Source organism: Homo sapiens, chromosome 4, assembly GCF_000001405.40.
Source record: "Homo sapiens chromosome 4, GRCh38.p14 Primary Assembly".
In the NCBI taxonomy this organism is placed as follows: Eukaryota; Metazoa; Chordata; class Mammalia; order Primates; family Hominidae; genus Homo; species Homo sapiens.
In genome coordinates this window covers 84,893,144-84,916,310 of record NC_000004.12, presented here as the reverse complement: position 1 = coordinate 84,916,310, position 23,167 = coordinate 84,893,144, and the positions used below count along the sequence as shown (strand labels likewise).

The window sequence follows — 23,167 nt, the reverse complement described above, 5'->3', positions numbered from 1 at the left end:
GGACTAGTATAATGATGGGAGGATGTTGCTGCATAGAACTGTATTCATTATTTTTTCTCTGCCCATCTCTTGTGAACTTACTAGATGAACTGATGAACTTACCTTTTGCCTGTGTTTTGCATTTCTTGACCTGTTATTTTTGTGTCGTTCTGTTTTTAGTTTATAATGTCGTTCATCCGTTTTCTGAAATTACAGCTTGTCCACAAAAAAGATAGTTGTCTTGTACCTATCCAGTGTGATAAAACATGATATTTTTATGATTAATACTTACCCCTAAATATATGACAAGGTTCTACTTCGGTGGATTAGAAACATAAAATATAATTTCAGGACTAAGTTTATTATGAAACAGGTTCTTCATTAGTTTGTGGAAAATCATAGCATTCCTGATTAGAAAACAACATGGTAAGTAATTGGTTTTGTGGCACTTGCCAAAAGCATGCAACACATTGTGGGGGTGAGCCAGAGGTATGTGTGTATAATTAAAACCTTTTTTCCCCAGTTCCTGTTAATTGAGGTCTGTACACTTAAAGCTTCTACTACTCTGAGGTTCTACAGTTTTGATTATTAAAAATTTGAGTGCACATATTTTTCTCTTGAGAGCCCCATTTTTAAGCTGGCTTAAAGAGAGAATTCTAGATGTGGAAATAGAAACAGTAAAAATAGACAACTAAAGATCTCAAGTCTGCAATGAACTTGGCTTTTATTGCTGTGGAGTGTTTGTGAGTTTAACTTGGCTTGAATACCAAGTTCTTGCTATAAAAACAAATCCTTTGGGGTTCATTTATAGGCTTCTTTAGTGTGGCCAGAGAATTGGATGCCTTATTTTAATGCTGAATATATACTTTGAAGCTAGTACTATATTAGTTTATGTTTGCCTGAAAATTTTGTGGTGATAGACTTTAGATCAAATTAAATTCTGTTTCAGGAATAATATTCAATCTTAAATGCCTTTTTAAAATTGTGGAATATACACTACCTAAAAATGACCATTTTAACAATATTTAAGTGTACAATTCAGCAGCATTATATATGTTCAGGATGTTGGGTAACCATCACCACTATCTATTTCCGGAAGTTTTTCATCATCTGAAACAGAAGCTCTGTACCCATTAGGTAATAATTCCCATTCTTCTCTCTCCTGGCTCCTAGCCACCTCTATTCTGTTTTCTGTCTCTATGAATTTGCCTGTTCTAGATATTTTATATTAAGTATGATCATACAATATTGGTCATTTTGAGTCTGGCTTTTTTCACTTAGTATAATCTTTTCAAGGTTCATGTATGTTGTTGCGTGTATCAGAATTTCATTTCTATTATGGAAGAATAATCTATTGTATGTGTATACCACATTCTATTTATTTTTTCATCTGTTTACACACACCTGAGTCATTAACACCTTTCACTATTGTGAAAATTGCTGATAAGAACATTGGCATACAAAATTCTGTTTGAGTCACTGTTTTCAACTCTTTTGAAAACAGAATTGCTGGGTTGTATGGTAACTCTTTGTTTAACTTTTTGAGGAACCACTAAACTTGCTTTCCACAGTGGCTGCACCATTTTGCATTTTTCTAGCAATACATGAGGGTTCCAATTTCTCTACATACTTACTAGCACTTGTTATTTTCCATTTTTTTGGAAAGTAGCCATCATAATAGGTGTTAAATGGTGTCTCATTGTGGTTTTGATGTGCATTTTCCTAATGACTAAATTATATTGAGCATTTTTACACATGCTTACTGACAAGATACAGTTGACCCTTGAGCAACTCAGGGCTTAGGGATGCCAGTGCCCCTCCAGTCGAAAATTTATGTATAACTTTTGACTCTCCCAAAATGTAACTACTAATAACCTATTTTTTTTTGTTTTGTTTTGTTTTGTCTTGTTTTGTTTTTGAGACGGAGTCTCACACTGTTGCCCGGGCTGAAGTGCAATGGCGCTATCTCGGACCACTGCAACCTCCAAGTTCAAGCGATTCTCCTGCCTCAGCTTCTTGAGTAGCTGGGATTATAGGCACCTGCCACCACGCCCAGCTAATTTTTTGTATTTTTAGTAGAGACGGGGTTTTACTATGTTGGCCAGGCTGGTCTTGATCTCCTCACCTTGTGATCCGCCCGCCTCGGCCTCCCAAAGTGCTGGGATTACAGGTGTGAACCACCACACCCGGCCCTAATAACCTACTGTTGAAGGCTTACCACCAACATGAACAGTTGATTAACACGTATTTTGTATGTTACACATAATATATGTATTCTTAAAGCAAGCTGGAGAAAAGAAAATGTTACTAAGAAAATCATCAGGAAGAGAAAATGTATTTACCATTCATTAAGTGAAAGTGGATCATCATAAAGGTCTTCATCCTCATCATCTTCACATTGAGTAGGCTGAGGAGGAAGAGAAGGGGTTGGTCTTGGCAGTCTTAGGAGTGGCAGAAGCAGAAGAGGTGGAGGAGGTGGAAGGGAAGGGAAGGGGAGGCCAGGGAGGCAGGAGAGGCAGGCACACTTGGTGTCATGTTACAGAAATACATTATAATTTTTCTTCCTTTTTTTTTTTTGCTTTATTTCTCTAAAAATATTTCTTTTCCAATCCTTCTTCCACCATTTGGTTTAGTTTCAGTGCCTGTATCATAGAAGAGTCCATGTCATAAAAGAAGTCTTGGATAATCGGAACCCTTCTTCAGATTGTCTAATGTCGATTTTTTTTCTGGCACTGCTTATTCTACATCTTCTTCCTCATTGTCTGGTACTAGTTCAGAAGCACTCATCTTCATCAAGTTGTCTTCTGTTAATTCCTCTGATGTGGTGTGTACTAGCGTTTGAGTTTCTCCAAGATCCATATTTTGAAACCCTTCACCCCTCACCTTTTTTGCTGTATCTGCAGTCTCTCACAGTTTCCTGATCAGCTCTATCATACATCTTACGAAATCGTGCACAACATCTGGGAACATTTTTCTCCAACAGGAACTTGTTGTTTTGAGCTTGATGGCTTTTATGGCTTCTTCTGTAACAATGATGGCATCTTCTATGGTGTCATTTTTCTAGACTTTCATGATGTTGTCTCTGTCAGGGTTCTCTTCAATAGGTTGGCAATCCTTTCCATAGAGTAGTGAGCCTTAAAGGTCTTTATAATGCCCTTATTTAGAGGCTGAGTTAGAGATGTTGTGTTTGGGTTCAAGTAGACCCTTCAATGCATAGGTGTTGAACTCATGAGGTTCTGGGTGGCCAAGGGCATTGTCCAATACCAAACAAATTTAAAAAGGCAGTCTCTTACTGGCAAGGTACTTTCTAACTTCAGCGACAAAGTATCAGTGGAAGCAATCCAGAAAGCACTCTCATTTCCAGCCCTACTTGTGGTACAACCAAAATACTGGCATTTGGTGTTTACCTTTTCCCTTCAAGACTCAGGGTTTAGCAGCTTTGTCGATGAGGACACTTATGATTATAAACCCAACTGCATTTGCTCAAAACAGGAGTTAGTCTATCCCTTTATACCCTTAAATCCTGGTGCTCACTTCTTTTCTATAGTAATAAATGTCCTTGGTAAGCTTTGTTTTTTCTTTTTTTTTAGAATAGGGTACTTTCATCTACAATAAAAACCTGGGCAGATGTACTTTATCCTCAGTGATTTTTTTTAATGTCTGGGAACTTGTCTGTTGCCTCTTGGTTGGCAGAAGCTGCGTCTCCTGTTCTCTTGACATTTTTATGCCATACCTCTTTCTAAAATTACCAAGCCATCCTTTGCTGGCATTAAATTCTGCAGCTTTAGATCCTTCATGTTATTTTTGCTTTAAATTGTCATATAATGACTTAGCTTTTTCTCAAATCATATTAGAGTCCATGGATATGCCTTTCTTATAGCAACCCTGTGCCCACAATAAAGCTGGATTTTCATTATGAGATAAAAAAGTATTTTGCAAACAGTGCAGGGTTTTGTGCCTTCTGGCAGAGCTGCAGTGATGGCTTCACCAGTTTCCCTCTCTGTTTTTACAGTGGTCCTTAATGCTAGATTTGTTTTTCTTGAAATAGTCGGCAGCTGTACCTGCAGACCTCAATCTAAGGTACGTATCAAGCAATTCAACTTTTCCTTGTTATGTCATGACTTTTCTCTGCTTCTTGGGAACACAGCCAGCATCACTAGTGGCACTTCGTATGAGTTCCACGGTGTTAGTCAAGGTTTATGATATTGAGCTAAACATGATGAAAAATATATGCATGAACCTTGAGACACATTTTGTTGCCATATACAACTTACTGGAGAGACAAACTGCTCTGGCAGAGATAATTAGCATCGCACAGTGTTTTAATGAATACTCGCAACATTTGAGCTTACCACTATAGCGACAAGAGATGGCTACGAAGTTATTTTGGTAGTAGAGCCTGTACTACAGTTAATTTTATGCAGTTAATGATTTAATACTGCATCTTCACTGTTTACATTTCTCTTGATTATGAATGGCACCATGTACTACAGTCTGTGCATGTGTAAGTCTTGATACATTTTAACTTTTTATAATAGATTTGTATATATTTTTATGGTAAAAAATGATAAAAATAGACTGGTATCTACATATATTTTATGCATTCATGACCTACTTACTTTTTTCTTAATTTTTTCAATATTCCTAGGCTATGAAGTTTGTCTGTAAGATTTTTCAAATTGTCACAAATCTCCAAAAAATTTCAAATATATTTATTGAGAAAATTCACATATAACTGGACCCAAATAGTTTAAACCTGTGTTGGTTAAGGGTCAAGTGTATATATCTTCTTCAGTGAAATGTGTGTTCATGTAATTTGCTCCTTTGCCCTTTTTTCTTTTTTAAGAGACAGGGTCTCACTCTGTCACCCAGTCTGGAGTGTAGTGGTGCGATTATACCTCACTTTAACCCTCAATTCCTGGGCTCAAGGAATCCTGTTGCCTCAGCCTCCTGAGTAGCTAGGACTACAGTCGTATGCCACATGCTCAGCTAATATTTTAATTTTTTGTAGAGGCAGGGGTCTCACTATGTTTTCCAGGGTGGTCTCAAACTCCTGGCTTCAAGTGATCCTCCCACCTCCTTTGCTCATTTTTAAATTGGGTTGTTTATCTCTTTGTTGTTGAGTTATAGGGGTTCTTTATGTGTTCTGGATAACCCTTATCAGATGTATGATTTCACAAATATTTTCTTTCATTCTGGGAGCTTTACTCTGTTGATAGTGTCCTTTGGTGTACTAAAGTCTTTAATTTTTATGAAGTCCAGTTTATCTATTTTGTTCCTGTGGTTTTGGTGTCATATTTAAGAAACCATTGGGCTAGGCATGGTGGCTCATGCCTCTAATCCCAGCACTTTGGGAGGCCGAGGCAGGTGGATCACCTGAGGTCAGGAGTTTGAGACCAGTCTGGCCAACGTGGTGAAACCCTGTCTCTACTAAAAAAAAAAAAAAATACAGAAAAAAATTAGCCAGACATGGTGGCACACACCTGTAATCCCAGCTACTTGGGAGGCTGAGGCAGGAGAATCGCTTTAACCTGGAAGCCAGGGATTGCAATGAGCCAAGATCGCACCACTGCACTCCAGCCTGGGCGACAGAGTGAGACTCCATCACAAAAACAAACCAACAAAAAACATTGAGGAGTTGCCCATTTTTTTTGGTAAGAACTTTATAGTTTCAGCTCTTAAATTTAGGTCTATGACCCATTTTATGTTAATTTTTAAGGTAGATTCAATTTTCCCAGCACTGGTTTTGTTGACGAGACTGCCTTCTCCTCCATTGAATAGTCTTGGCTCTCTTGTTGAAAATCAGTTGGCCATATATGTGAGAGTTTTTTCCTGGGCTCTGTTCCATTCTGTTGGTCCATATTACCATCCTTATGCTAGTACCATACTGTTTTGATTACATTATATTATATATTTGATTTATTATATTAAATGTTTTATTTTTAATTGGATATTTTATTACCATTAATGTGTGCCTTTAAAAATGTTTCTAATATACAATCATCCCTTGTATCTGTGGGGGACTGATTTCAGGACCTTCCTCAAGCACCAAAATCTGTAGGTGCTCAAGTCCGTGATAGGAAATGGCATAGTTTTTGCACATAACCTGTGCGTATCCTCCTGTATACTGTAAATCGTCTTTAGATTACTTATAATACCGAATACAATGTCAATGTTATATAAATAGTTGTTATTCTGTATTGTTTAGGAATAATGACAAGAAAAAATATGTACATGTTTAGTACAGATGGAATTTGTTTTTTCTGAATATTTTTGATCTGCAGTTGGCTGAATCCACAGTGTGGAACCCACAGATGCAGAGGGCTGACTGTGTATCTTTGAATTTTGCTTTTAATAGTTTCATTTCGTTGACAGTATTCCAAAAAGAATGGCAAATATTAAATTTATTATGAATACTTATGGAGTTATACTAGGAAAAAATGTTAAAGCAAGCAAGTTGTTGGTTATTTAATTCATATTGTAACTTTCTTTGGAAATTTGAGGATTAGAGACAAAAGCATGAAGACAAAAAAGAAAATATTTGTCTTGCTTGCAGAAAAAATGCAATAATGAAAAGACCAATAAGTCACGTAATCTAGTAAATTGTTCAATTTTATGTTAAATGCTACTTTTATTTTAGTTCCAGAAGCTATCTACTTACTGAAAATCTTGAGATTTCATAAAAGACAATATTAGTATTTTATAAGGAATAATTTTTACTAAAGAGCTGGCAGTGAGACTCCTAAGCCAAATATGAATGACTGTATTTAGGTTATTTTTATGTTACAAGTATCTAATTAATCTTGTGTTCCTTCAGACTGCAACAGCAAACAGAAAATTAGGAGAACATTAGATGTCATTTTCTCTTACTTTGTTATTATATGAATTTTTTTTTATTTTTCTGTAGTACATTTGTGCCCTTTCTTTTTTTATTACAATACTTTAACCATAGTTCTAAAATAAGTTATTTGGTATTTAGAATTATGAAGTATAAATATTTTGTAACAAGAACACTGGGTTATAAATTAAAGGCAAAAATCTGTCAAGAAAGCATAATTTTAACCTTTTAAAATGTATTTTAGTTTATTTTACCCCATGAACCAAATACATAAAATAGATGCCCTCCCTGTAACTCCCTTGTTTACTTTCAGTTTTCTCTGATAAATCTCACAGTTCTAAAAAGTTATATATTGGCCCATCTTGTTTTATTACATTCCCATGCATTTACTCTATCCCTGTATTATGAAACAAATTCCGTCAGTAAATATTTTTGTGTGTGTGTGCGTGTGTGTGTGTGTGTGTATGGATACGTGCGTAGGAATAGACTCCTAGTATTTAGTTTAATATGAATCCATTCAATAAACATCTTTTGAATTTTTCCTTGCTTTAGATGCAGTGGGCTTAGTGCTAGGAATAGATGTTTAAGACATGATTTCTGCCCTCAAAGAGCTTACATTATAGCTTAGAAAGAGTTCTTATGTTGATAATTTATGCTCACTGAAGTCCTGAAGAGTTTCAACCTTAGAACACTAAGAACTCTTGAGCTAGATAAGGACAATGTGTTGTATTCTGGCATATCTGACTTAGATATTCAAGGAGAGGTAATACAGTATCTCCTTGATCCCTTTATTCTAAAAGGGAAAGAAAAAGAGCTATACTTCATACTAGCAATAAAAAAAGTTGAAATATACAAAGAGTTGGGCTTGTCAGTTGTAAATGACTATTGAGGTTTCTGATGAGGTACATTAGAATTATGCGAAGCCATTTATGCCTTCCTCATATTGAATTTATAGTTCTGTCTTTTTGGACAACTGATTTAAAATTCATTTCCACTTTCAGAATGTGTTGGGGATTCTTTTGAGTTTAGAGGGTTTGCCATGTATACCAATAAAGATTGTTCTTTTATTTGTTCTGAATATTTGCATATTATGGTGATTTTCCTTTTTTAGTGTTCTGGAGATATTGATGGCATTTAATTTTAAAATCAATCATAAAGTTCTATCTTTCTACCTTCTAAATGTCTGTTGAATCTGTCTACTGCTTTTTTACTTCTTGTTGCTAAGATATTTCAGGCCATCATTCTACCTAAACTGGATAGCTGCAGTTTCCTTTTAACTGTCTGTATTAGAGGAGGCCCTTTGGAGCCGTTTTCCATACTGCAGCAAGAGTCTTCTTTGTAGAATGTGAATCTTACCCTACTTTATTGAAATTCTCAGTGTCTCCTTATTGCCTTTAGTTAAAGCTCAGAGTATGGCATCCTTTCATTATCCAACTGGTACTTATATATATCTCCAGTCCCTTCATTTGTCATCCTCTGCACTTTCCTTGCACCTTACATGTAGATATGCATACCTACACCCACTCTTTCCCCCTTAAACAGCTTCTCCTCCTCCTCCTCTTCCTCTTCCTTCTTTTGAAACTTGATATTGTGTTCTGGGTGTTGAGGTAGGGCCTTCTATTTATCCGTTTAGAGCACTTAATGCTGTGTTGCTATACTATCCTCTATCCTCTTGTATATCCCGTCTATCCCTGTAAGACAGTGAGTCTTATTTTTTCCCTGTGTCTGTAGGGCCTGGTACAGTGACTGGGCCATAGTAGGCACAGATCAATGATTATTGCTTGAACGAATATAGATTACTTATTGCTGATTCAAGTTAAGTCGCTTAAGAAAAGCCAAGCATTTATTATCTCACAGTGTCTGTGGGCCAGGTATTTAGGAGTGGTTTAACTAGGTGGCCCTGGCTTAGGATTTCTCATAAGGTTGTAGTCAGGATGTTGGCAGTAGCTATCTAAAGGCTTGACTGGGACTAGAGGATCACTTTCCAGGATGGCTCACGTACATGGCTGTTGACAGAAGACCTCAATTTCTTACTAGCTGTCAGCAGAAACCTTTGGTTTCTACTCATGTGGACCCCTCCATAGGGTTGCTGGAGTGTTTTCACAATGTGGAAGTTGGCTTCCTTCAGGGCAAGTAATCTGAGAGAGAGCAAGAAGGAAGTCATAATGTCTTTTATAATCTGGTCACACATAGTCACTTCCTCCATATTCTGTTCCTTAGAAACGTGTTGCTAAGTGTAACCCATAATTAAGAGGGGATTAATTAGACTCTACCTTTGAAAAGAGGAGCATCATAAAATTCGTGGATATATTTATAACCAACACAGAATGGGACAGTAATTTATTATTCTCCCTTGGACCTGACCAAAATAGGTTATTTTCTCTCTCTGCAAAATACTTTTGTCCAAATGGAAATAAATTCAGCCCTCCATATCTACAGGTTCCACATCCATGGATGCAACCAACCATGGACAGAAAATATTTGGGAAAAGATGTTGCAAAAAATAATAATAAAGAATTTTATATTTGAAAATACAGTATAACAAAAATTTACATAGGATTTACATTGTGTTAGGTATTATAAGTAATCTAGAAATGATTTGCAGGTGTGTCCAATCTTTGGGCTTCCCTGGGCCACACTGGGAGAAGAAGAATTGTCTTGGGCCACATATAAAATATACCAGCACTAACGATGGCTGATGAGCTAAAAAAAAAAAAAAAAATCACAAAATATCTCATAATGTTTTAAGAAAGTTTACAAATTTGGGCCATATTCAAAGCTTTCCTGGGCCATATGCAGCCCATGAGCCATAGGTTGTACAAGCATGATTTAAAGTATACAGGAAAATGTGCATAGGTTATATGTAATTACTGTATCATTTTATATAAGGGACTTGAGCATGGCAGGATTTTGGTATACGTGGGGGTCCTGGAGCCAATTTCCTGTGGATACCAAGGGATGACTGTGGTTAAATTTTTTTAAGAATATGCTTTTATTAAAATATTACACATATTTTTGAGGCTATAGTCATTTTGCATATAAACATAATTATTTACTTGAGCTAGTTGGTACCTCTTCATAATTTTACTGCAGTTTTTCACCTAGATTCTGAAAATAAGAAAGTCATGTCTTAGGTTCTATATTGCCTATAAAATGAATCTGACACAAACTTCACTGCTTTGAGGTTTGTCATAGGTCTTTAAGAAATGAAACACGTCTGTCTCTGAGTTATATTTGTATACTTCATGAGAGAAGATCATAAATTATCTTTTAAATTTGTAGCTTAAAACACTTTAAATTGTATAGAAATTAAAGTCCTTTTAGTCTAATATTCCTAACTTGCTCATTCAAGAAAAATTTACATGACAGGCATTTTACTAGGTGGTGAATATAAGTAAACAAAACAGACATATTCTGTCTACTTGGAGTTCATAATCTGGTAGACAACTAGATGGTAAATGTATAAGTAGATATTTTCCAATGATGTTAAGCGCAGACCATGGAAGAAATGCAGATGAGGTGATAGAGGGTCATGGGAAGGCAGAGGTACTTCTACATTGCCAGAAAAGGCTTGTCAAGAGAGGTGACCTTGAAGCTGAAAATTGAAGGAGTTATCCCTGCCAGGAATTTACAGGAAGAAGGGAAGACCCTGCAGTGTGAACAGTTGGTGTATGAGGAATTGAAAGCATGCCTGGAGATGTCTGGGGGAGAGTGGAATGAAGTTTGAAAGGTAGAAAGGGATCAGATATCTAGAATTTTAAAGGGCCATGGTAAGGAGTATGGCTTTTATTAAACACACTGAAAGCCACCGAAGGGTTTTAAAGTTACATACTATAGTTTCTGTTACCTGTCCTCTAGCCCCCAAAGCACTTTGTCTGCAAAGGAGAGAAAGCAGGAAAATAATAAGACCATTATAGTAGTTCAGGTGAAAGATAATCGCAGCTCGGATCTAAAGTGTTGGGAGAGAAAAGGATAGATGAGATCTAGTCTGTAGGTGGAACCAATGGGACTTAACATGAAGAGTGTGGGGGAGGAGGAAAGCAAGGAAAATACTCAGGTTTTGGCTTGAGCAGTTGGTTGGATGACAGTATTCTTAAATGAGACTGGAGGTCAGTGAAAAGGGAAGTCAAGAATTTATTTATTTATTTATTTTTAATTGAGATAGAGTCTCACTCTGTCGCCCAGGCTGGAGTGCAGTGGCATGATCTTGGCTCACTGCAACCTCCACCTCCCGAGTTCAAGCTATTCTCTTGCCTCGGCCTCCCAGGTAGCTGGGATTACAGGCACACGCCATGATGGCCAGCTAATTTTTGTATTTTTAGTAGAAACAAGGTTTCACCGTGTTGACCAGGCTGGTCTCGAACTCCTGACCTCAAGTGATCCGCCTGCCTTGGCCTCCCAAAGTGCTGAGATTACAGGTGTGTGTAGGGACCAGCCCCACAGGGTCGGTGGGTCTTTCCCCGTGTGCGCAGACGAGAGACTGTAGAAATAAAGACACAAGACAAAGAGATAAAAGAAAAGACAGCTGGGCCCCAGGGACCACTACCACCAATGTGCGAACTCCTGACCTCAAGTGATCCGCCTGCCTTGGCCTCCCAAAGTGCTGGGATTACAGGTGTGAGCCTTATTTTTGAACTTGTTACTTTTGTGACATCTGTAAGTGACCAAATGGAGACGTCAAGTGGCAATCAATTAAACAATCTTGAAGCTCAGAGAGTTAGGAGGAGATATACAGATGGTATTTAAAGTTGTAGAGTGAATAAGAGCTTTTTTAGGGAGAGAACAGCCCTAGAAACTCTACCTTTTAGAGTTTGCTTGCATGGGCCACATTTTGCTTGCTTTGTAAGACAAACCACAGCACAGAAAGAACACCTGCACAAACTGCAGCACAGAAGTTTGCTTTGTTTATATTAGTTTATATTAAAACGTGCTTTCTTATTTATTTATTTTTAAAAATTTTTGGCAGTAATGGTACTGTAATAGATGAGAAAGTATTACATCTCTACCATGTCTACCATTTGTTGAATGAATGACTAACAGAGCCCTTCCAAGCTGTGTGACCTTTGAATTTTACCTCTCTGAGTCTCAGTTTTCTTCTTCTTCTTTTTTTTAGATGGAGTCTTGCTCTGTTTCGCCTAGGCAGGAGAATCCCTTGAACCCAGGAGGTGGAGGTTGCAGTGAGCTAAGATCGCGCCATTGCACTCCAGCCTGGGCAACAAGAGCGAAACTCCGTCTCAAATAAATGAATGAATGAATGAATGAATGAATGCATGACAGAAATTTATTTCTCACAGTTCTAGTTCAAGATCAACGCACCAGCAGATTCAGTGTCTGGTGAGGGCCCACTTCCTGGTTCACAGACAGGACCTTCTTGCTGTGTCCTCACATGTGGAAGAGGCAAAGGAGCTTTTATAAGGACACTAATCAGTTTATGAGAGTTCCACCCTCATGACCTAAACACCTTCCAAAGGCCCCACCTCCTAGTACCATCATATTGGGAGAGATGGGATTTTAACATGAATTTGAGGTGGGGGAACACAAATATTCAGACCATAGCAGGCAGGCGGGCAGGCAGGCGGGCGGATGGATGGACGGAGAGAGACAGACAGACAGACAGATAGGGAGATAGAGAAATAGAGATACACATCACATAAATATACATGTGTATAGCGTAGTGTCTTAAATATCTGAAACCGATTCTTTAATGTTCATATATTTCAGATATTGTTTTTGTCCAGCTTTTCTCAGTTTGTCATAACTTGGCTACCTTCAAAGAAGGTTAATTTTTTAAATGATGAAACTCTAAGGTGAGGTTTGGTTTGAAATATTTTTGAAGTCTAATGACTAGGAGAATGAATTAAAACAGTATTATAGGACTGGGCACAGTGGCTCACACCTGTAACCCCAGCACTTTGGGAGGATGAGGCAGGCGGATTACTTGAAACCAGGAGTTTGAGACCAGCCTGGGTTACATGGAGAAACCTGATCTCTACCAAAAATACAAAAATTAGCCAGGCATGGTGGTGCAGGCCTGTACTTGCAGCTACACAGGAGGCTGAAGTGGAAGGACTGCTTGAACCTGGGAGGCAGAGGTTACAGTGAGCTGAGATTGCGCTACTGCATTCCAGCCTGTGCCATAGAGTGAGAAGCAACAAACTCCCTTTTTGTTTGTTTGACGCAAACAAACTCCCTTCATATATGCTCTGCTATGGAAAATATTGTAAATTTTTACATTTAGATTATATATTCCCTGAGGTTTTCCATTTATTTGAAATATGTGATAATGTGTTTGATAATATCAAAGGGAAAACATTTATTCCACATGTATTAGATTGAACTGTAAAAATTACTGATACTCTCTTTTTTCTGACCTAACAAAAATGGCAATTTCATTTGACTCAACCTTAATAGAAATAATTTTTTCTAAAAGTCCTTATATTCTTCGTGATTTGATTTTAGCACTTTGTGACTTTCCTTCATTCAACAACATAATTTACTCTTTTCATTCTTAAATCCTAATAATACACATCTTGAGGGAGACTTTAAGGACTACAAGTGCTTGGTTAGAAGCTATTTGTTAGGCTTCTAATATTCTGGCACTAAGTCAAAGACTTTACATATGCTATCTCCAATCCTGACAATAAGTCTGAAAGAGGAATTAGTATTAATGGCAGAGCTACAGTTTGAATCCTTTTTATGACCTAGTCTTATAAGTCACATAGTATCACTCCCAACATTTTACTTGTCGAAAGTGAGTCCCATTCAAAGGGTATGGAGAAAAAGGCTTTTCCTTTTAAAAGTAGGAATATCAAAGAACTTGCTAACATTTAAAATCACCACAAAATGCTAGGGACTTTGGGATGTACTTTTTGTCATGGTGAAAATTCTATTTTGCCCTTCTAAAAAGTTTCTTCTCTTTGATGACCATGTAAAAATGGTTTACAGAAGATTAGTGGTCACTCCTGAGTTCTTCCTCTTTTAGAGTTTAACTTGAGACATGGTCTGTTAATTATGCACAATGGAAGCAATTAGTCTGAATGTTTTTAGTCTGGTCCAGAGATTTTAATCGTATGCCAGTTTTTCATATTGGGTTTTAAAAAAACTATTTTATTGGATTTACAAAATATATAACCCATTTATAAATTGTTTTTATTGTTGATTCTGTGAAAGCACTGAATTCTACCTCTTGTTTTCTGTGATAATGATTTTGTATTTACTAAATTTACCTTTTGATTAATTCCAGGTGACAGTTTACAGATTTCTCATGGGCAGTCTGCAAATCTGGTTTCCCTAAAGAAAATTGCAGACCATGTATAGTGCAAAAACATATGTGGCACAGTATTTCAGTGTGTGTATGGAATATAATGCCAGATTTTCCTAAGAACTTGGAGGTGGGAAAGAGCTTTGAGAGCAGCAGAGTGAGAAAACTTGAGTGTGTGAAAAGGGCTGACAACTGTGATATAAGCCATGCCTTTGTATTTATGGCTAATCTGGAGAGTAGAATGGAGGTATTCTGAGATAACTTGAATTGCAGTATTTCTTCATGCAGTATGTCATATTTGACAGGGGAAATATTGCATTCAGGACTTTATATTCACCCTCAGATATCAACCTGCCAGACTGCGTGCAGAAAAATCACAGGGAAATACTGAGATGGGTTATTGATTTAATGTTCCGTTGTGAATGGATTATAAAGCCAGGACTGAAACCCAAGAGTATAGTAACCCAGACAACACTTTCGGATCTCATCTTCCCTGGAAAAATCTCATATTATTTGCTCTAAATTTTTAGAGCTTGTTTCCTTGTTATCTTATTGTTTTTCTTTAAACTATCTACTATGATTTAAATATTGTCCCCTCCAATATGCAGGTGTTGAAATGTAATGGCCATTGTGATGGTGTCTTAGTCTGTTTTCTGTTGCTTAAAACAGAATACCTGAAACTGGGTAATTTGAAAAGAAAAGGAATTTATTTCTTATGCTTATGGAGACTGAAAAGTCCAAGATCAAGAAACTCCCTCTGGTGGGGGCCTGCTTGCTGGAAGGGACTCTCTACAGAGTCCTGAGGTGGTAGGGGACATCACATGCTAACTCAGGTCTCTCTTTCTTGTCTCAGAAAGCCACCAGCTGATCCCCACGAGGACCTTAATCCATGAATGGATTAGTCCCTTCGTGAGAGCAGATTCCTCATGAACCAGTCAAAGGCCCCACCTCTAATTACTGCCACATTGGAGCATTAAATTTCAACGTGAGTTTTGGAGAGGAGAAATTTTCAAACCATAGCAGATGGCATTAAGAGGTAGAGCCTTTAGAACATGATTAGACCATGAAGGCTGCTTTCTTATCAATGGGATTAAGACCCTTCTAAACGAGCCTTTATGCATTAGGTTTCTTGCCCTTTCGCCTTCTGCCATGTGAGGACACACGCTCCTCCCCTCCAGAGGATGCAGCAACAAGGCATCATCTTGGAAGCAGAGAGCAGCCCTCACCAGACAAGTGAACCGGCCATTGCCTTGATCTTAGATTTCTCAGCCTACAGATCCATGAGGAAATACATTTCTATTATTTGTAAACTACCCAGTTTCATGTATTCTGTTATCACAGCACAAATAAACACAGAAACTATCATGCTGTTTTCAAAAGTTTTTGTTTTTTAGATTATTACAAAGTAAAATTCACCTTTTTGTGGTATATAGCTTTATGGGTTTTGATACATGTGCAGATAAGTGTAACTGCTACCACAGTGAGGATACAGGACAATTTTATCACCCAAAAAACTTCCTTGTTCTGTTCCTTTATAGTCACAGTCTCTCTCACCTCTAACCCCTGGCAACCACCAATCTGTCTTCATCAAAATAGTTTTTTTCAAGAACACCATATAAATGGAATTACATTTGTAATCTTTTGAGACTGGTTCATTTGACTCAGCATAATGCCTTTGAGAATAATCCAAGTTTTTATATGTAACAATAATTCATTCACAATCTGGATGCAGTGGCTCATGACTGTAATCTCAGCACTTTTGGAGGATCGCTTGAGGCCAGGAGTTTGAGACCAGCCTGGGCATCATAATGAGACCCCACCTTTATGAAAAAAATTTAAAAATTAGCTGGTTGTGGTGTTGTGTCTGTAATCCCAGATACTCGGGAGGCTAAGGCAAGAGGATTGCTTGAGTCCAGTAGTTCGAGGGTGCAGTGAGCTATGATTGTACCACTGAACTCCAGCCTGGGAGATTGAGCAAGATCCTGACTCAAAAAAAAAATTATTTTACTTTTGTTGAGTTGTATGGGTGCACCATAGTTTGTGTGTCTATTCACTTGCTGAAGGACATTTGGGTTGTTTCCATTCTTTGGCCATAATGAATAGAGGTACTATAAACTTTTGTGTGTAAGTTTTGTGTGAATGTAAGTTTTCATTTCATTTCTTTTTCTTTCTTCTTTATTTTTTGAAACAGGGTCTTGGCTTTGTCACCCAGGCTAGAGTACAGTGGCACAGTCACATTGCATGTAGCCTCTGCCTCCTGGGCTCAAGCAGTCCTCCTGTCTCAGCTTCTTGAGCAGCTAGGACTACAAGCACGCCACCACATCTGGCTAATTTTTTGTTTTTAATTTTTAATTTTTTTTTGTGGAGATGGGATCTCACTGTGTTGCCCAGGCTGGTCTTGAACTCCAGGCCTTAAGTGATCCTCACGCCTCAGCTTTTCAAAGTGTTGGGATTATAGGTGTGACTCACCACACTTGGCCCAGTTTTTATTTCTTTAGTGCCAGGGTCAGAAAACTTTTTCTGTAGAGGACTGGATGAAGTATTTTATGCTTTAGGGTCTCTGTTGTGGGTACTCTGCTGTTGTAGTGTGAAAGGAGTCATAGACAATACGTAAGTAAATGAATGTGGATGTGTTCCAATAAAACTTTATTTACAAAAACGTGTGGGCTAGATTTTGGTACATGGCTGTAATTTGCTAACCCCTGTTTTATGGTAAATACTTAGGAATGGGATTGCAATTTATCATGAGTACATAATAAATAAATGTTTAATTTGATAAGAAAATGCCAAACGTTTAGTTTATTGACTTAAAATACACTTAGTTTAATAACATTTGAATCATGGGATGTTTTTGAACTCAGACGTTATAGTTCACGCAGCAAGCTCACCTAATTTATAAGACAGGCTTTGGTCTTGTCTTACACTGAGGGTCTATTTTGCCTTTTACTTTTTTCATATTCTTGTGTGGTCTTTTGGCTTGGATATATTTTTTCTTTGCAGATAAAAGGCATACTCATTTTTTAAGTAATTTTTGTTTGAATTAGTTAAGATGCAGTCAAACATTTCAAGGAGGTTGCCTTTTTAAAAAGGTATGTATTAGGAGCAAAGGATTAGAGATGGAGTTGCTAAGTTTTTAAATCAATTAGACAGTTGATCGTATCCTAGAAATTGGGTATAGCTGGATATACTCTATACTCATCACACCATGATGTCTCTTTAGAAGACTTTGTTTCAATGCCAAACCCAGACCTTTTCAGTATGGAAGCTAAACCCAGACTGTTTATCCATAAGGGAAGCTCACCTGTGAGATCGTATCTTTGTTTTGTGTTAGTTTTTGATGATAACTTAGGTGTTAAATCTTAGGTTAGTAGCCAAGTATCCTTGGAATTCTTCTTAGGAACAGCATCCTACAGATGGAAGGTTGTTGTTTGTGTTTTTTTCTGAGGGATGCAGAATTCACTTTCCATTTTGTTGTGATTCCCTTTGCCACAAAAAGCTGGAATTTGGGGTTAAAAGACAGGTAAATAATCTTGGATATACCAATAGCTAATGAAGTTGGAGATGATGAATAAAGCAAAGGAGGTCTATTTTTCTGGTTATGATTTACTATTACTTTTTCTCTTCTGAAAAAGCAGTGAAGCCCCAGGACCATAACAACATCAGGGAGGTGGGAAGACCATTTTGTGCTAATAGTAGTCCAGTCATCTTCATGCAATGGTTGAAAGACTGTATCCGTGAGTGGGAAGTGCTACTGTTGATATGATATGCTTTTTTAAAAGAGGTAACTATTTGGGGACGAAACAAACAAAAAAACTCTTTTCTACTTTCTGCGGGCTTGGGCACTGGCACTTGAATCACTGGTGTGGCAATTGAACATGATCTCCTTTGACAATCAAATAAAAGTCATAGGTCATCTCTCTAGAATATATGTATGTTTACAAATTTAATATGAAGTTTTGGGGCTTCATTTACCCCCAAGCCAGCATTGTCCAATGTAACTTTCTGTGACAATTAAAATGTTTTATATTGGCTCTGTCTAATACAGTAGTCACTAGACACATAATAGCTGTTGAGCACTTCAAAAGTGTCTGCAACTGAGGAACTAGATTTTTTACTTCATATATTTAAATTAATTTGTATTTAAGATTAAATAGCCACATGTAGGTAGTGGCTGCCAGCTTAGGCTCTTTCATATGCCATAGGTTATAATCCCTATAAAAGAGGTTTTGTGAATGTCATTGTTAGGAATTTAATTTGTTTATTTCACTTTTGATTTTTGCAGTCAAGCAGTAGTTAATTGTATCTTGCTTTTCAGTTAAATTTTAATAGTTGTTATCTCTAAATATGTAACTTCTTTGTAATTCAGGAAGATTTAAAGGCGATTTTCAATATTTGATCCTGTTTCTTTCATAATGAAATATCCAGAATAGGTTTGTCCTGGGATTTTAAGCTTGTTCAGAAAATGTGAGGTGAATACCTATTGAGTCCTGTGTTGTGGGCTCTCCAGCGTCACTTTGTCCTGCGTTAGGAACACTCTGGTTATTTAGAGCCACCTTTGCCCAAGTATCTTAAAAGTGCATTTCCCCTTTGGGAGACCGAGGCGGGCAGATCACCTGAGGTCAGGAGGAGTTCAAGACCAGCCTGGCCAACATAGTGAAACTCTGTCTCTACTAAATGTAAAAATTAGCCAGGCATGGTGGCGTACACCTGTAATCCCAGCTACTCGGGAGGCTGAGGCAGGAAAATCACTTGAATTTGGGAGGTGGAGATTGCAGTAAGCCAAGATCAGGCCATTGCACTCCAGCCTGGGTGACAAGAGTGAAACTGTGTCTCAAAAAATAAAATAAAATAATAAAATAAAAAAAGTGCATTTTCCATACTCATACGTTATTTAGCAACAAGCTGAAAAGTTTATAGGTGACCTCCATACCATATGATTTTATATTTCTGTGGCAGTGGTTCTCAACCCCGGATGCACATTAGAATCAGTTGGGAAACCCATAAAAACACTGCCCAGGCTCTAGCCCCAGAGACTTAATTTGAACAGAGTGTGGCTTCCGGGCATCAGAGCATTTTTTAAAAAGCTTCTTAGTTGATTCCAGTATCCAACCAAGGTTGAAAAGTCCTCATGTATGAGATAGTTAGTGGACCTGGGCTACCTGTGTTGAGGAAAATATTCTGAATTAGAGATTAATTCATAACCTTTTTCCCCCTCTTTCTAGCTGGAGCCCAGATTTCAAGTTTTGAGTAAAATACCTTCAAGCGAATGGGCCCTATTGTGCTCACACATTCAGAACCTGTTACCCAAGGAATTCCCTAAAGGTCAGTCTCTGGGAAGAAAAATTGTGGGTTTTTGTTTTTAATCTTTACTATCACTGGATTTATTGATAAACAAAGACTGTTAATTATGTGTAGACAGGACTTTTTATATTGACTTGATTTATAGAGCTACCATTATAAATTTGATTACTGTACTATCATATTTAGGAAATAGAAAATGTATCTTGAGAACTGTTTCTAATAGGCTATTTAAAGGAGGATATATGTTATATGTACACCTATATGCTTACACATATTTAACATATTTTAAAAGATATTCAAGAAATTAGTGATGACAGTGCTAGGGAGGGAAACTGGAGCCCTGTAGTGGGATATTTACTTTTACTGTGTATTCTTTTCAGTATGGTCTTTTAAACCCCATGCATATATTAAATTTCAAAAAAAATTCTTAATGGCTAAAAATGCTTTTTTAGTTTTATAAATATGCTTATATAGTTTTTTCTACTTGGAAAAATAGAAAACAACCTCACATTCCTTGAAATTGAGGGTCTCTGCTTGTTACTTGGTATACTATTTCTTGTGTTGGATGTGTTATTTAGGGGCATACATCTGATTTTCCTCTCTTGAACTCATGTCCTGGGATTTTTTTGCTTTACATTTTCTTTCACCTTTTTATTTTTTATTTTACTTTATTTTTTGAGATGTAGTGTCGCTCTGTTGCCAGGCTGGAGTGTAGTGGCACAATCTCGGCTCACTGCAACCTCTGCCTCCCCGGTTCAAGCGATTCTCCTGCCTCAGCCTCCTGAGTAGCTGGGATTACAGGCACCCACCACCACACCCAGCTAATTTTTGTATTTTTAGTAGAGACGGGGTTTCACCATGTTGGCCAGGATGGTCTCCATCTCTTGACCTCGTGATCCGTCCCCCTCGGCCTCCCAAAGTGCTGGGATTACAGGTGTGAGCCACTGCGCCCAGCCTCTTTCATCCTTTTATTTCGCCATGTTCCAATTTGTCTCTTTTTATCTTTTGCACTAATTTGTATTCCTTCAATTTATTTCCAGCTTAATTAATGGCACTACCATTGTTCGTATCACCCAACCTGGAATTCTGAGTCCTCTTGATCTCTTTTTCTTTTGATCCTGAAAGATATCTACTTCCTAGATTGTTAATCCTTTGTCAGTGGCATTACTTGTAATCTCTCATACCACTGTGCCCCACCCTTACCTCTACTGGCACTGCCTTTATCGCTGAAAGCATCATTAAGATACATCTATCCCACATATCACACTATATTTAGAAATATTTTCTCTACATATATAACCCTCCTACTTAACAGTTTATTGTTAGTCTAACATGTAAGGCCTTTTAGGCTCTTCCTGTGACTGGCTTTTCTCTGCAAGCCTCATCTCCAGCTTTTCTCCATATTCACCCTTTGTTCCAACTATGCAGAACTACTTGGCCAACCCAGCAGCGTATCTTGTGCTTTCTTGTCTGTGTACACAGTTTATTTGCTAGAAATAAGTTCTAGTCCATTGTCAGCTGAATGAACTTGTCTTCAATTTCTAAGGCTTAGTTCAGATGTTACTTTCTCTATTGATAGTTAACTGCCTTTTCCCTGTGTTCTCCATAGCACTTTATTTTTTATTATTCATTATAATACTTATCACATTGCTTCTATTATGTTTTTTCACTTAACCATGAGCCCCTAGAGGGTAGAGTGTGATTGATTTATCTTTCCATCACTAGTTACTAGCAGAGTACTTGCATGTAACAAGTGTTATTAAATGAATAAGAAAGTAAATGTTAACATATACAATTTTTGAACTCTTGCTTTATAACCATGTGAGGTCACTAAGCCAGTGTTTTTAAAGTTTAATAAAAGCTAACCTGAGTTTTACATTTCTGAAGAGAGAGTTTAATAAGTTACTTATTAGTAACTTATTAATCAATTATGAGAAAAATATTTACCTATTTGAAAAAGCTGACTTTTTTTTTTTTTTTTTTTGAGACAGTCTCACTCTGTTGCCCAGCCTGGAGTGCCGTGGTGCAATTTTGGCTCACTGCAATCTCCTCCCCCCAGGTTCAAGTGATTCTTATGCTTCAGCCTCCTGAATAACTGGAATTACAGGTGTGTGCCACTACAACCGGCTAATTTTTTTTTTTTTTTCAGACTGAGTCTCGCTTTGTCACCCAGGCCGGAGTGCGGTGACGCAGTCTCGGCTCGCTGCATCCTCTGCCTCCTGGGTTGAAGCAATTCTCTTGTCTCAGCCTCCTGAGTAGCTGGGAATACAGGCGTGTGCCCCATGCCCGGCTAATTTTTGTATTTTTAGTAGAGACAGGGTTTCACTATGTTGGCCAGGCTGCTCTCGAACTCCTGACCTCAGGTGATCCACCTGCCTCGCCCTCCCAGAGTGCTAGGACTACAGGCATGAGCCACCACGCCCAGCCTAATTTTTAGTAGAGATGGGGTTTCACCGTGTTGGCCAGGATGGTCTCAAACTCCTGACCTCAAGTGATCTGCCCACCTTAGCCTCCCAAAGTGCCGAGATTACAGGCATGAGCCCCTGCACCTGGCCAAGAGCTGACTTTTTAAAAAGTACTCTTAGATGATTCAGAATACTTTTCATGCAAATCACTTATACATAAGTACATGACAATTTGACCGTTATTTAAAGTAGAAAACAGAGTAAGCTTTTATCAACATAACCAGAGTTTATGTTCTCAAAAGTAATAATGCTGTATTTATTTAACATATATTGTTTTGATATTTTGCTTATTCTCTCTTCATTGCATATCCGTTTGAATATGGACATTTATTTGCCTTTTGTTATTCCTTAGTTTGAATATAAGGATCATGGTAGAAATTTACTATAGTTTCTAAGTTTATATTCCTTATAGAGTCTTTAATGTACATTTAAAGTTGATTCTGTGCTAAATTACCTTTTTCTAATTTTTTTTTTTTTTGAGACGGAGTCTTGCTCTGTCGCCCAGGCTGGAGTGCAATGGCGCAGCCTCGGCTCATTGCAACCTCTGCCTCCTGGGTTCAAGAAATTCTCTGCCTCAGCCTCCTGAGTAGCTGGGATTACAGGCGCTGGCCACCACATCTGGCTAATTTTTTTCTTGTATTATTAGTAGAGACGAGGTTTCACCATCTTGGCCAGGCTGGTTTTGAACTCCTGACCTTATGATCTACCTGCCTCAGCCTCCCAAAGTTTTGGAATTACAGGCGTGAGCCCCCGTGCCCAGCCTATTTTTTAAACAATAGTTGTAAGTCTGTAGATGTTGGTAGTCTAGAATTTCTCAGATTTTCAAATAGGAAAATCTAGATATTGAAATAAAAAATGTAGAGATTGAGAAATTTAAGTTCTGTAGGTGTACCTACTCTAAATTTATCATCAGTAGGTGAGGAAAAGGATTCCATTCAAAATGGCTGAGTAAAAACATTTGTATTCTATTCTTCTGCCTAATGCTAACTGAACATAACAAAAAGAATAAAGAATAGGGAAGAAATCTTTTAACTTAAGTGAAGTGAGGAGAAAACAGTAATCCCAAACCTCAGATTATGAGAAGAGCTGCCAAACATTGTGAACCTTGAAGCAAATTGGGAAGTATGCAAATATCTATAGATTTTAAACACAGCACAGAGTCTCCCATGGTAGGTAGCAAGGGGACTACAAAGTCTCAGGCAGGGCGAAGCTGCAGGGAAAGACACAGATGTACCTTTTTTTTGCAGAAAAGAGTGGCAAGAAGCAGCAGAATAGAGGAGGTAGTATATAGAGCCATCTCCTTGGTCTCAGTTGATGGAAAGC

The 23,167-nt window shown here is 37.7% G+C and overlaps 1 protein-coding gene across 29 annotated transcripts in view; it reads left to right on the top strand.

Annotated features, from left to right (window-relative positions):
- The window catches only part of WDFY3 (WD repeat and FYVE domain containing 3), a 297,094-nt gene that overhangs the window by 50,380 nt on the left and 223,547 nt on the right, over positions 1-23,167 (top strand). For 17 of the 29 annotated variants that reach the window (XM_011531759.3, XM_047449859.1, XM_047449857.1 and 14 more), the window contains one exon: positions 19,301-19,400. The exons of 4 other annotated variants lie outside the window; for them this stretch is intronic. The gene's annotated coding sequence lies outside the window, so the exon portion shown is untranslated. Of the gene's footprint in view, positions 1-3,991; positions 4,060-14,931; positions 15,064-17,710; positions 17,860-19,300; positions 19,401-23,167 lie in introns of all 29 variants that reach the window. 8 more of the 29 variants (XM_047449846.1, XM_047449847.1, XM_047449848.1 and 5 more) reach the window with 8 other exon arrangements.